At 36.2% G+C, this 14623-nt stretch overlaps 2 long non-coding RNA genes across 6 annotated transcripts in view; one reads left to right on the top strand and one right to left on the bottom strand.

Moving 5' to 3' along the window:
- LOC107984606 (uncharacterized) overlaps positions 1-14623 on the bottom strand; it is an 84462-nt gene that overhangs the window by 69038 nt on the left and 801 nt on the right. For 2 of the 4 annotated variants that reach the window (XR_007063859.1, XR_001749993.2), the window contains exon 3: positions 1101-1225. The exons of the other annotated variants lie outside the window; for them this stretch is intronic. This is a non-coding gene — a long non-coding RNA (uncharacterized LOC107984606). The remainder of the gene's footprint in view (positions 1-1100; positions 1226-14623) is intronic. 4 annotated transcript variants of the gene reach the window in all.
- Positions 831-14573, top strand: LOC107984607 (uncharacterized). 2 transcript variants are annotated; one of them, XR_007063861.1, is made up of 3 exons: positions 831-917; positions 6690-6806; positions 9005-14573. It is a non-coding gene; the product is annotated as an uncharacterized LOC107984607 (long non-coding RNA). The 2 variants fall into 2 exon arrangements; XR_007063860.1 differs by having other exon boundaries at positions 9346-9426.

The following is a 14623-nucleotide window of genomic DNA, read 5'->3' on the forward strand; positions in this document are numbered from 1 at the left end:
AAAAAGATGTTGACAATGGCTTCATAAAAGTTGTGTTAATTTTTTTAAAGAAGATTTAATGAGAATGGTGCAATGAGAATCCTGAAAAGGTAATAATTTGAGTAGTACATGGAAGGCATGTGAATATATTGTTAGTGTAGACAACACTTTGGAAATATTTGGTTGTAAAGAGTTAGAAAGAAGTTAGAAAGGTTGAGGGAGATCTAGGGTCCTAATAGAGATTTTTTTGTGAGTGATTTTTGTTTTGGTTTGAAAATGGAAAAATGTGATTATAAAAAATGTGTAAGGTATGATTATATTAGAAAGAATTATTTCAAGAGAGAGGGGCTAGGTATAAAAAGAGATAAATTATAGAGAAAGAACTACCAAGAAGGTAAGAAAACATAAGACCTGGAACACAGGGAGCTGGTCTTAGGTGGGAGGAGGTGCACATTTTCTATTCCTCTCATTACAGGAAAGAAGTATCATAAGAATATAGGTATAGCTGACTATTTTAATAAAAAGAATACGAGGAAATTTTTTTTCTTTGGTGAAACTGATATATTTCCCAAAGATGGCCATGATAATGTATCCCATAGCATATGCTGTTCTTTGAAAGAGTTGTTGACTTTTCTCTATTGAGACACAGGGTCCTGTTCCTTTTCCTTGAACTACATGGACTTGTGAGAACAGCAGAAGTGATACTGTGATGTAAGAGGCTAGGTCATAAAAAGCAACACAACAGCTGTCTCCCTCTCCCTTTCTCTCTCTCTCTCTCTCTCTCAACACGTGCACATTTGGAGACCTAAGCTTCTGTGTAAAATTACAGCATAATTGAAGCTCAGTGTCCATGGCAGGTACTGGAAAGAGAGAGATTTCCAAGGAGCCACGATCCAGCTCTCAGATATTCAAGTCTTTTCAGACCAGGCACCAGATAGGTAAGCAAACCTTCAGATAATTCTGTTCATTGGCCTTCAATCCACATCACCTTACACAGAGTGGAGTAAAAATGAGCTGTCACCATCAAATCTTTGCCCTAACTACATATTCATGAGCAAAATAAATATTGTTATTCTAAGCCACGAAGTTTTGGGGGTGGTTTATCATGCAGCCTTACTTACTGTAACATTTGGTGAGAAGGAGGTAAAATGATCCTTGATAGGATAAGAGATCATTCTCATTGATTTCTCTGGGAAGCAGATGCTGAGACGGAAGCCAGCACTAAAAGTTCACTGTGGTGTAACACCTGGAAAAGAAAAAGAAAGGGAGAAAGATTGGAAAGGACAGTCAGCAAGACAACAGCAGGTGTGCAGACATAACAAAGTATGATAGACCAGGAGGGAGCTCTGATTCAGAGAGAAAATATGCATGAGGTGGAAATAGCTAGAACCTTGTATTCTCACCTTGCTCAGATGTTGACTAAAGTCTGCCCTGAGATGAGTGTAGCCTTGACTAGAAAGCTGAGAAAAACCTTAAAGAAGGAAACAGCTACCCATGCTCCTCAAAGTGGGGCAAAGTCTTTTTTGGGGGAGGGGGAATATAAGTAGTGAACATACATGGATTCCACACTCCTTTCCTTGGGGTATTTTATCCACTTCCCTGTAGAATTTGGGGAGCAACTCCTCCAGGGCCATGATGAGCCTTTCTTCCTGCTAGAAGAATGGGACTTGAAAGAGGGAGGTATTCACTTTGCTCTTAGGGACATAACTATTTCTCATTGATCTCCCCCTCTACTATTCATTCTAAATTTCCTTTGCTCAAAGATATCAACCCTCTTAATCCAGGTGGCTTACATTATGGTGCAACCCAATACCTCATTCCTAAAACATCTGAGTCTATTCAAGAGGGTTCCCTGAGTTTCGTACATATTTTTATCCATCTACACTATCTAATAGCAACCAAACCTTCTCCTGCTGACCATGGTCAATTGCCACTGACAAGATCATGACTCCTCTTCTTGCCCACTGGCACCTAGACACCAGGTGTCAACATTCCCAGGTAACATCTGTAGGTATACTTCAATGAAAACTTTGCTCTATTACTCAGAGACAGAATCACCTCCTGCAATCTGGGGATAGTATCTCCAACACTACAGAGCTCACAGCTAAAGTAACAAGGACAAATCAAAGTGCTTGTAAGTAGGGCCACTTTTGCTTCTATTCCATGGTTCTCAGGCCCAGCTACTCTTCTTAGTGGGAATATACCTGCATAAAAATTACTTTGATCTAATGCATGTTGGAGAATGGTGTCCCCATCATAGGATATTGCCTCTGACTGAATGTTTTAGTGCTACCTTCAGCAGGTCATTCCAATCTCTATCATGGTGTACAGGCGATGTAACCAGTGTATCTCATGCCTAGAGTTATTTTGTGTATAAATAGCAAACGAAAACATGATCTGTTGTATGTGATGTCATGACTATGGATCAGGCATTCTACAATCTTCTGAACAGTGGCTGAGGTCCTGTGGACTGAAAAGGGGATCCCATACCCAGAACAGATGTCAATTCCTATGAGAACAAATTTCTGTTTATTCCAGACATGAAGGAACCCAGTGGAGTTGATTTGTTACCCAGTGGCCCAGATCTCCCCATGCAATAGTGTGTTGGTCTCTGCTGCTGGCACGTTGGATGTAAAGAAGCAGTAGTAGCTAGATCAGCCTTCATATGTGGGAGCCCATGTGGTTGAGCCCATGCAGAACTCTTATATCTACCCCTGTGGCCACTTTGTGTATGTGCCCCTTATGCCAGCACTGGGGTGGCTGTGAACAAAAGCTGATTAACATCAACTGGATAAGTCACTTTGTCTATCTGGTTATTTGTTGCCACTTTCATGCCACATGCTTTCTTAGAGGTCTTAACATGAGATACAATGTTTTTCACACTTCCTCTCAATGCATATATTCTTTCACATGCCTTTAACTCATGTAATTTTGACTTATATCTTCCAGCCTTTTTCCTTTTTGGCACCTATCAGCCAGAGAGACCACTGGTCAATTCTCATGAATCAATACATACCCTAACCTACGGTTTCTTTTCATTCCCTATGATGAGCAAGTACACTGTCCACAACATTGTGCACTGAGAATTTTTTTCCTTGCTACTGTATTTCAAGTTCTTCCATAAATGTAGCTGAAATGCATTTGCCATCCATTTTCTGAGTTTACGTTACACCAACTCAACCTTTCCATTATGTGAGGCTGGATTTTCCCTCCTTCTTCAGTTGGTATAGAAACATCCCTTATGATGACAGGTATGATTTCAAGGTAAGGTACTGGTCAAAACAGATGGGAGAAATGAAGGTCTAGGCTATCATCTCATGCATTTGTGTATGTCCTCTCGGCCCACTTAATTCTAGATGTTCCATTTCTATCTTGCAAATAAACTGCCGCTATGCCTACCATCTTTGTTACCTGCATGGCCAGAGAAGGCTGCAGTGCCAGAATTGCTCAGGATAAGCTTTTCTGGATGCCTGGTCACTTGGTATCCATGGCTGAGTGTCCAGTCTTTACTAAGTTTCAGTAGCATACTTTTTTTTTCCAAAATCATGTAGTTTTCTGCTGTAGGTTGCTTAGCCTTGCTCCAGAAAACTAGCGTCTACATTGAGGTTCTCCTCTTCAGACTTGCCACAAACTCCAGACTGCATTTTTGTTCAACATTGTCACATTCATTACCATAGAGTCTGTAGATCATACAGCCCATGAAGCAGGTCATAAAGCCACCCCTTTTTTTTCCTCAGGAACCTGCTCAGGACAATCAGACTTCGAATTTCACCTGGCTTATCATCTTAACCAGCATTCTTAGATGTTGACTTAATTGCTTCTAGGACCCTAGAAGTAATACAGTCTTTTCTTCTATGTGGAAGTAGATTAAAAATACAACAATCCATCTTTACCTTTAATGGCAATGTCCTTGCATGCCCCTGACCTTGGGATCTAGAAAATTTTTACTTTCCAGGCTCTACAAAACATATTTTTTAGCAAGGCTTCCATCATACGTGCCAACTCATACACATCTTGCCTGATTGGCATCATATAATCAGTACTTGGTGTTCTGCAATGGTGTTCATGTCGTCCAGATCTTTTCAGACTATAAAAGGTGCTAACATAGTGTTAAGGCATTATATTAAGCATGGATTGTTTTTTGTTCCATACAAATGAGACATTTTTCAGATCCTCTTTCTTGATTAGGATGGAAAGTAACTCATTTGTCAAATCAAGGACCTCTTGGTTGAGCTCTAGCCATTCCACTGTCACTCTCCAGCATCCATCAGGTTGTTCAGGAGCCAGAGAGGAAAATTAAATGGAGACATGGTAGACATCATCATCCATGCATTTTTTAGATCTTTAACATGAGCTTATATTCACCATTTTCCCCAGGAAGTGATGTCATTTCTAATTTACTATCTTGGCCAGGAGAGGAGGGAGAGCATTCAGTGTTTTCTTGGGGCCTCGCTTAGAATTAGAGAGGAGAAATTAATAATATATTAATACATGATTTTTCACAGAAAATTAGTATCTAAAGTATAAGCAAAAAAGAAGCTGAACAATTGGTTTGATTCAGAGATGGTATTTTTCTCAAGATCGAGTTCTAGAGAGAAACTAAAGCTGTTTCAAGTGAGGGATAATAAAATATTTGATATATATGGGAAGAAATAAAGACAGGAAGTGTTTAGATATTTCATAAAAATGTAGAATCATCAAGAGACTGAAGTTTTTAAGATGTTTAAGGGTTAATATGGTCATAATTGAAAGATTTGGAAGGAAAAGTGTTTTTGGTCAGAGGGTGGAAAAATTAGATTTAATATGGAGCATTTTCAGCCCGAATAAATTGATGTGAACATGCAGGGAATGGTATCCCAGAACACCACCGTGAGGAGTGGAGTCCGGGAATTATTTATAGATAAGGTGGCTTGGTGTCTGTGCTGTAGGGGAAGAGATGGAGAAAGAGGGAGGAAATTTCAGCTGTGGGTTTAGGGGGCATGAATGTGCTTCTGCAGTTGGGGTGACAGGGACATGGTATTTTTGGTAGTGTGAAGAGCCATGTACTTTCCATGTATGCAGAACATAGGAAACCACTGACTTATGGCAGAATCTGCACTTCTCAGAGTGAGGTTCCATGTGACTGTACTTCAGGGACATGGTTGTTGAGAGTAGAAATACTGAAGAAACCGGCTGGGCGCGGTGGCTCACGCTTGTAATCCCAGCACTTTGGGAGGCCGAGGCGGGCGGATCAGGAGGTCAGGAGATCGAGACCATCCTGGCTAACACGGTGAAACCCCCGTCTCTAATAAAATACAAAAAACTTAGCCGGGCGTGGTGGCGGGCGCCTGTAGTCTCAGCTACTCGGGAGGCTGAGGCAGGAGAATGGCATGAACCCGGGAGGTGGAGTTTGCAGTGAGCCGAGATCGCACCACTGCACTCCAGCCTGGGGGACAGAGCGAGAATCCGTCTCAAAAAAAAAAAAAAAAAAAAAAAAAAAAAGAAATATTGAAGAAACCAAACTGCATTTGTCAAACTAAGAAAGATGGCTTCATATTATTATTGTTTCTCTCAAATGAAACAGTATTTCTAGAATGTTTTCATAGAACTTTGCATCCTTTAATGGCTACCAATTTATAACCTAGCAGTTATTCTATGAATAAGTGTCTAGGAGACATATTCACACTTAATAGCAGTACTAGCAAAATTCCATGACATGTCCAAATGAGAGAGGACAAAAAGGTCCTATTTATTATATTAAGAGTATAATATTTTCACTCTGTCATGCAATGCATCTTTTTAAAAATGAATATGGAACTATAACTAAAATTTAAAAACCCCTTTAGTAAGAACCTCTTTATTAAGAAGCAAAATTATGTTTAAAAATGTACTCGTTGTCATTCACTATGGACTCATCATTAAGGTAATAGCAAAACAAACCTTTTCAGACAAGCATTAAATAGTCTATTTCATAATGACTTCACTTTTTCCCGTTTGACAAATTCTGTCCATTCAAAATACAAATACTTAGTATAGAGTGGACATATTCTACTAACCCTACATCTTCCTTTTTTGCTGAAAAAGTGATCTGAATGAACTAATTCACGCAGTAAACAGTGTCCTAAAAATGTGCTGTTGTCCAAAAATGTGAACATCTTCAGGAAATTTGAAGTGTAAGATCCATCAGACTCTAAGTCAAGTGAATATCATATTTAGAAATGTGCAGCTGAAAGAAATAATTTGAAGAGATTTAGTGACCAATAGAGCAAAATTTGACTTGAATTTGATTTAATCTCAGAAACATTTAAGGTTAGGAAATGAAAGATTTGAACTGCTCCAGTCTACATGCAGAAAAAGAAAAAAAAAAGAGATGGCTAATAATGTAGCTTCTAATTAAAAACGCATTCTTCTCATTTTGCCCCTGCGCCGTTGAAGTGTTAGGGTTCGGGCGTATTTCCTGGCTCTGTCTCTACCTGGAAAGGGCAAATACTGGTATATCTCAGCCAACTCTGTCAATGTATGTAATTCGTTTAGGAACGGGCATATCACACAACTCTGATCAGCGGGCTATAAGAGAATTCTCCTGGGATCTTCTGAAGACGATCCCACACAGTTAATAAAGTGAACATGAAGGAAGATGGATCTTTCTTCTTGTGACGCCCAGAACTGTGAGGCTACCTTTACTACCTGATAAAGAGACCTGCTTTAAATACCTCTTTCTAATTGCTAAGGACCTTGCCAACATGTGAGAAGGATGCTGAGGGAAGAGCTTTTGTTCTTGATGCTGCCATGGAGACTGAATTAGCCAACTCTGGAATCGTCTCCGTCCAGGTTTCTTGTTATAAAAGGTAATAAAGCTTAGAATAAAAGTAAGACCATTCCACTCAGGTTTTCTGTATTTGAAGCCAAAAGCTTATATATGGTTACTGAATTAGTACAGTTTGAGTTATGAGGGGATTTAGGAACTGACAACCTTCAATCTGGAACTGAAAGAACTGACAAAACACCGAAGAAAATATTATGTGGAGCTGAGAGGAAGATGCGTGCATCACAAAGAATTAGCAAGACAGTAAATAACTTTGATTTCTCACTTTGCCATATAAGCATTTTGGCACTCACTAGATGGTTTATGGAAATGATTATTTAGCACAGATGTTATCTTTTTCCTTCCTTTACAACCTGAGGTCGTGCTATGTAAAATAATCATATTGCAATTTCAGAAGCAATTTTAATACATTGTTTCCTCAGCAGCATATGGGTGCATGTGAATCAATCTTTAATATAATATTGTATCACCTAAAGCAATTATTCCCTTTAAACGTATATACCTTGAGTTGATTGTTTTTCTTAAATTATAATTTATAAGAAAATTCATGTTGAATAATTTTAGCTGGGACCATTCCTAACCTCCAGTTATATTATGGACATAAATAGACAATCTTAAGTTTAGAATAAATGTCTAGCATTTTTGGTAAGACAAAAATGTAGGACTAGAACATAATCAAAGAGACAGAATTTCCATATTGGAATAGAGCTGCAAAAATAGCTTTTTTTTTTCCCCCTACCTTTCCTTTACTGCCTAACACCGTTTTGTCTACTTGTGCATAAATCTTGGAGTTTCACAGGATTCCTAGGCCTTCCTTCTTCTTTAAACCCAGAGTCTTCCTGGGTTATCTCATCCACCTGCCCGGCTTCAGCAATCTCCCGTGTCTTTTTGTTTTTTCTTTTAGAGACAGGGTCTGTATACGTTGCCCAGGCTGGAGTGCAGTAAGTGTGATCATGGCTCACTGCAGCCTCAAATTCCTGGGGTCAAGTGATCCTCTCACCTCAGCCTTCTAATTAGCTGAAATTACAATTGCACACCACCACACCTGGCTTTTTTTTTTTTTTAATGAGGTCTCAGTATATTGCCCAAGCTGGTCTCAAACACCTGTCCCCAAGTAATCCTCCTGCCTCCTGAACCCTTATCTAGCACAGATATCTCTCTAAAAAAACTATTTTCAGCTATATTCAGATAGATTCTTCACAGAAACAGAATCAGTAGGGTATAGGGGTGTGTGTGTGTGTGTGTGTGTGAATACGCATCTCACTAATGTTAATGTTGGATATTCCTTTTAAGCAGCAATGCACACTACACTCTGAATTACCTCAGATCTACCTCTTTCTTCCTTCTGGTCCTCGTACACACTGGCCTACTACAAAGCTGTCTCAGCCCATCCATCTCACATGACATATGTCAAACATTGCACATCAACACTGAGAAGAGTCGTGATGTCTTTCAAGAAGCCATTCCTGACCCTCCATCTTCTCAAAAATCTGAGGAAAAATCCAACTTATGTGTTCCTAGAATATTTCACTTCCAGCCCTTGCAAATGTTATTTGTAAATTTTGATTATTTTTCTTTGTCCCTTAAGCAACTTGTTAAATGTTTGGCATATACTCTATACTTAAATTGTAATGAATGAGTCTCAAGCAATTTTAATGATGTATGATTTTGGACTTTGGGATATTTGACTGCTATCTAAGACTGTTTTTATAGCAGATATTGAGTACTTTCTATCTCCTAGGAGCCAAATTAGACATTAAAGGGACAAAGGTAGTGGTTATTTTTTTTTAACTATACTTTAAGTTCTAGGTTATTTTATCCTAATATATGTGACTGACAGAAATTGTTCTATGGAAATTCACTCTGAATTTTAGCATTTGTGCTAAAGAATATATTAGTCACATTGAGTTAGCATGTTAGTGACATTTATGTAATGATTTTATGTTTTAATTTATTTCTACACACACCAAGCCTTGTAAATAAACCTGGGCAAATATTTATTATTATTTCTGTTTAACTGGTAAAGAAATAAAGATTCATAGGGTTAAAACATTGCACCCAAAGCTTCATGACTAGTAAATAGTAAACCCAGGCCTTACAACCACATGCTTTCAATTATATCACACTCTCTCAGAACTGATAAATCCAATTCAATGATCTATAATCCATGCTTTAGTTTGCAGACACTTTTAAAAAATGCACTGTTCTTTGTATTTATAGAGAGAAGAAACAACTGAGTCATCCTCAAGTAAGCTCCCCCAGGATACTAAGGTGCCTCAGTGGAAAAATACATGTAGTCTTACAGAACAGTACAACTTAACTCATCAGTCAATACCGGACCTTAGATTTTGGCCTTACAGGGACTCAAAAACTTGTGACCAGGCTATGACTAGGTTTATTAATCCCAAATCATTTACAGAATTGTATGACCAGCACAGTTCTCCACATGATTTGAATGTTACATTGGATTTAATATATCCAACACACTAGCTACTTCTCAGCCTCTGTAGTAGGGCTCACATGGAGAAGCACTGGAACAAGTTTTTTAATCTTTTATTTAGAAACTGATCTGCGGAACCTTCAGGAGATTGGTCTCAAGAGACGCATCTGCCTTCTCGATGGGATTGTTGGCCTCTCGTGTTGAAAGGATCGCATTTCAGGAGCCAGCAGGTCATTTCATCTCATCCTCTAGTATCATCTTACAGGCTCCTAAGCCACATGAAAGTCACACATGCCAACTGATGGCTTACTTTGGTTTTGTCAAATGGTGGATACTTAGTCACAGTTTGAAATGAAAATACACCTGGTATGTGCCACCTTAGAAGGTTTAATTTTTCTCAGGGGTTACAGAAAAAAAAATATGTGATAAGCCATGGTCAACCGATGTGTATTTAAAGTTCACATTTTAATGTACTTTAATTTTTGATGAAGACTACTGAGAGGAAGGAGCAGCGAAGAATGAAACAACAAGGTAGGGGCAGAGGAAAGAAAACAGGGCAACAGAATGAGATGGATTGAAAAGAAAACAACCCGCATGAAACTAGGATGGGATTAGCTGAAGTACAGCAGGAGGAGGCTGAAGCAGTGACAAGGGAAAATGTCTCAGGCAGGCCTGCCACTGCCATTTCCTCAGGCGAGAGGACAGAGAGGCCCACATTCCACTCTACATGTCAATATCTAAAGGGGATACATGAGACCAGCACACCACAAAGTCAATTACGGTTTGCCCTCCTCCCTTGACAAATACATTCTTATGACAACAAAACTGAAAAAAAAAAAAATAAGTAAAGCCATCACATCTGAATTTTGCTATATTTTCTCATATCTGGGGTTTCTGTTGATAACCTAGCAGTGTTTGGATGAGAAGGAAAATAGAGATGTGGATATAAAAATTATTAATACTTACTCAATATGATTTATTTTGTGCTTCTACTTCAGGAATATTACTAATTCTATTATTAAGATTTTTATTTAATTTGATAAAAATAATTGGCAGAATCAAATGAAATGCAAAAAGTGCACAAAACAATAACATATTTTCGTAAAAATAAAAACAAATGAAATAATAAAAAAGTAAAATAAGTATATTTTGCAAACTCTTTATCTTTAAATATTCACAATTATTTATAAGCATAAATATTTTAAATCAATGAATATAAACATTTAAAGCTACATTTATTATTATTTCAGAAATTTAGTTCTATTTTAGTTAATAATTCTAAAAATTAGAAGCATATTATTCTAGTATTTAATGGTTTATTTGGTTGTCAAAATTGTCAAAGTCAGGAATTGGTAGCAACTTAACTGTAATATTTATATAAACTTAATAAAACCACAAATTGTTCATCCCTGTGTACAAGTGTTGTGAATAACGACCTAACTCCTGAATTCCTATAAATCCACAACTTGGAACAAGAAGAGAAGTGAGAAAATGGCAGTACTAGGAACAGATTAGTATCTGTTATCTGAGATAAAGGATTTGCCAAGTAATGAATTTGTCTTGTCCTTGCATAAGTTGCTCAAACCCTCCAAAGGCTCCAAAGCATTGGCCATCTCTCACATTAGCTGCAGCACTCACAACTCTCCTTGTAATCCCTGTGAGGCTGCCTTTCCTCAAAGACAGAGTTAAGACCCATGGGGACAATTGCTTTTACCCTAGGGCTTGAACAGGTTTGCAGGTAGAAGATGAGAATTCATGTTCAGAATGTTTTTTAAAATCGAACTTTATAAAAGAAACATTCAATTTAACACCTGGTTAATTATCAACAAAAATTAACATTAATCAATTAAATAATTGACGTATCTGTGATATCTATGGTATTGATAAGCAAATTAATAACTGTTAGAATTTTGAAACAAATGGCATTTGTACGAAGTTGCAATAAAACTGTAAACTCTTTTCAAATGTAAAAAGTAACCTCTAAAAAATTGAGAAAGTAATTATATTCTGGACAGTAAGTCCAGGCATGACAGAATAAAGTAAAAAATCTGGCATATTTGAAACCAAAGCATTAAAGGCTCATTTGAGGGGGAAAAAAGTATGTTATTATAATTTTACTGCATTTAAAATTAATGAAATGTCTTTGTTTTATCAAGAACTTAGTGGTGGGGAACACAGTTCACGTGAGTAAATATACCCAGGTCTGTTCTGTAACTGAGGTCTGATATTTACAAGACCTCAAACTTGGAGGAACTTAATGTAAGCTCTTTCATTGCCCACGGTTACCTCTGGGTAAAAGGAGGGGCACATCCTGACAGGTTTCTTCCAATAAAAGGCAATTGGAGACTGAGGAGGTACAGACTGCACTCATTAGCCTTAAGAAGTTAAATTGCAGGGACTGAAAATATGGATATGACTCTTGAATCTTAAAACAACTAGATAGTATTCCATTCACATCAGCCTTCAAAATTCCTAAACAAAAGTCAAAATTTATTGACCGTTTTTACAGGTGCCTGAAGTAACCGAGCTGAGTTCAGTCAGATGGCTGTGGGCACCATCTATGTATAGATGCAGGCTTCATACAAATATACCCCTCTATCTCTATATACTTTAGATGGCCCATTATGGGGAGAAAATCTGAAAGTCTGAACTCTGAAAGTCTGTAGAATTTTATTTTTTGCATATACAACTGCCTCATCGAAATATTCTCTTGTATGCAAAATAAGCATTTCAAATATAGAACAAAAATAATAAAACTCTGCACTATTCCTCTCTTTATCTCATAACCTGCATCCAATACGTTGCAATTTTGGTTAGTTCTACCTTCAAACAGAGCCTTATTCTAACCATTGTTTTCATCTTTCCAGCTCAAACATTGGCCAAAGCTATCATCACTTGTGACCTATATTACTGCAAAATCCTAACTTTTCTGTTCCTGCGTACAGCCTAATGAAGTTGACTATCTGTCCAGGAAGCAGAGAGATTTTTATAGCATAAATTAGGTTTATTTCTCCCTTGCTTACCACCTACCAGTGAGTTCCAAATATAAGTAAAATAATATTAAAATCACCTACTGACACTCTAAAGGTCCTGTATGAAATGAAGGTGGGTAGTAAGATTTTATATATTGGTTATAAATGAAAGCAATCCATCTATGAAGGATTCTTCTAATTACAACTCATAGATACAAGTCTTGAGGTAGGTAACTGAGATACTTTGATTGATTTGTTTATTTCAGATTATTAAAATCTGAAAAGGGAGGCAGGCAGCGGGAAGCAGAGAATCAAGACTTTCTTATGATCAAGACTTTCCCAGACTCTCATTGCTGTTTATTAATTTTCTTGTCCTTCTTAAATGTATGTTTTATTTTCTTTTTAAAAATATTGATTAAAGTTATGCACTATCATTAAATTAATAAATAGTACCAAAGGGCTTAGAGTTAAATATAAGAATTTTTTTGCCATTCTCCATCCTGTCTTGATCCCCAGAGGTAACAATTTTAAGAACTGTATTAGTTTCTTTAGGTACTCATGTATGTGTTTATAAATAGTAACTTATATTATTGATCCTGGAATTCTCATTGTTATGATTTTGGGTCAAGATAGTATTCCACAAATTTTTTTAAATATGTTAGCTTGTGAAAAAAAATAGAGAAAAATGTAAAATTATGAGACCCCAGAAATACACAATGCTGAGAACCCAGAAATGTGTGATTCTAGTATAACTATTTATTTATCAAATTAATATTTATTAAAATCCAATTATGCGCAAGCTATATCTTAGCATTTTATATACAAGTGGATATAATTAGAATTTTAAAATATCAGTATTATTCTTCACTGAGAAAATACATGAATATTGTATAGAGATTATATCATTTAAAATATAATGCAACAATGTAACAACATAACAAAGCAATAACTAATGAAAATCAACTTTGTTATCATAGAAATAGAAAAACAAAGTTCTTAATTGTTTTTAAATTCCAATTTCTAAACTATAACCGTGACGTAAATCTATTTTCAATTATAAATAGGTGTAGCAATCACAACAGAATGAGTAAGCATATCTTGCAATTCTTTTCTTTTGAAAAATACTGATTAAAGTTCTGAACTATTCTTAAAAATAATATATAGTACCAAAAAAGAACCACGGTGCTTTTTTATTATTAAAAAGTAATGTGTAATCTTTACTAAAAAGTATACAATTAAGAAAGAGAATAACTAAAAATCTGCCGAAATGGAGAAGTCTTTTTAACAATGCAATTAACAAAACGTGAAGAATATTATTTTTCTATATTAACTAGTATTATAATATTTAAAGAAAATGAAAAAAATCAACTACATTTTATAGACTATTTCCTCTTTCTAGGTATTATAAGTAAAATGATGCATTTAATTAATCGTAGAAATTGTAAGAATGCCAATAACTTCATGCAGAATATATTTTATGCACTTATGGTCTTTCGTCCCTTACATACTAAACATTTTGCACACATTATTTCATTGATCCTTGTTTTTAAATTAAATTTTAATAAGCCTTAAACTCTCACAAAATACATTTTCTATGTTATTTCCTACTTAATACATAGATTTTATTTCTTATTCATAGTAGTTGTTCAGATATCCTTTGCATTACCTGAAGAAAACAACATAGAATAAAATAGCAAACAGGTAAAAAACAAATTATACAAAGCATGTGCTAGGAGTTGACCATGTAAGACTAGCCTGAAAACTTGGGAGCAGTCATTTGATATGAGATTGTTTATAAAAGTCTTAGTGGCACAGTGTTGATTTTCTCTAGAATTTTGGAGTGGATAAATTAATATGACATTGTGTCTTTTTTATTTTCTGGCACTGAATTTTACCATATTCATGTATTGCCAAATCTAGACAAGTAAAATATTCTTTACAGTTTTCTTTTTCATCACCGAGAGCAAATTCCTTGCAAAATCTAATTGCTTTTAATTCTAAACACAATTGATTCTCATTATTTATGGCTGTTATGTTTAATTAAGTTGCCATGAACCCTAAATTAGCAAATACAGAACAATTGTCCCTAGAGGAAATACAAGGTTAGGTTCCTGTGAGTCTCTGGTCACAACATCTTCACCAACCAGTCAATAAATATCTTTGTTTTATGTATGTTTATATTTAAAGACCTCTTTTTAAATGTGTATTATTGAGTCATTAATATGTAACTCACGCCCAGCAGCATTAGAACTCATGCCTGAATGAAGCTCATTTTGTGTGTATTTTCTCCAGAAAGCTCACTGCAGCCTTCTTGTGCTTAGGGATGCTAGACAGCCCTTTTGCACTATGCTTTGGGCCATTTTAAGCACCAAAATCACTAACAAAAAGCACACAAATTTGACAAATATGGTGCTAAATAGACCACAA

This window comes from Homo sapiens, chromosome 13 (assembly GCF_000001405.40).
Source record: "Homo sapiens chromosome 13, GRCh38.p14 Primary Assembly".
NCBI classification, from domain to species: Eukaryota; Metazoa; Chordata; class Mammalia; order Primates; family Hominidae; genus Homo; species Homo sapiens.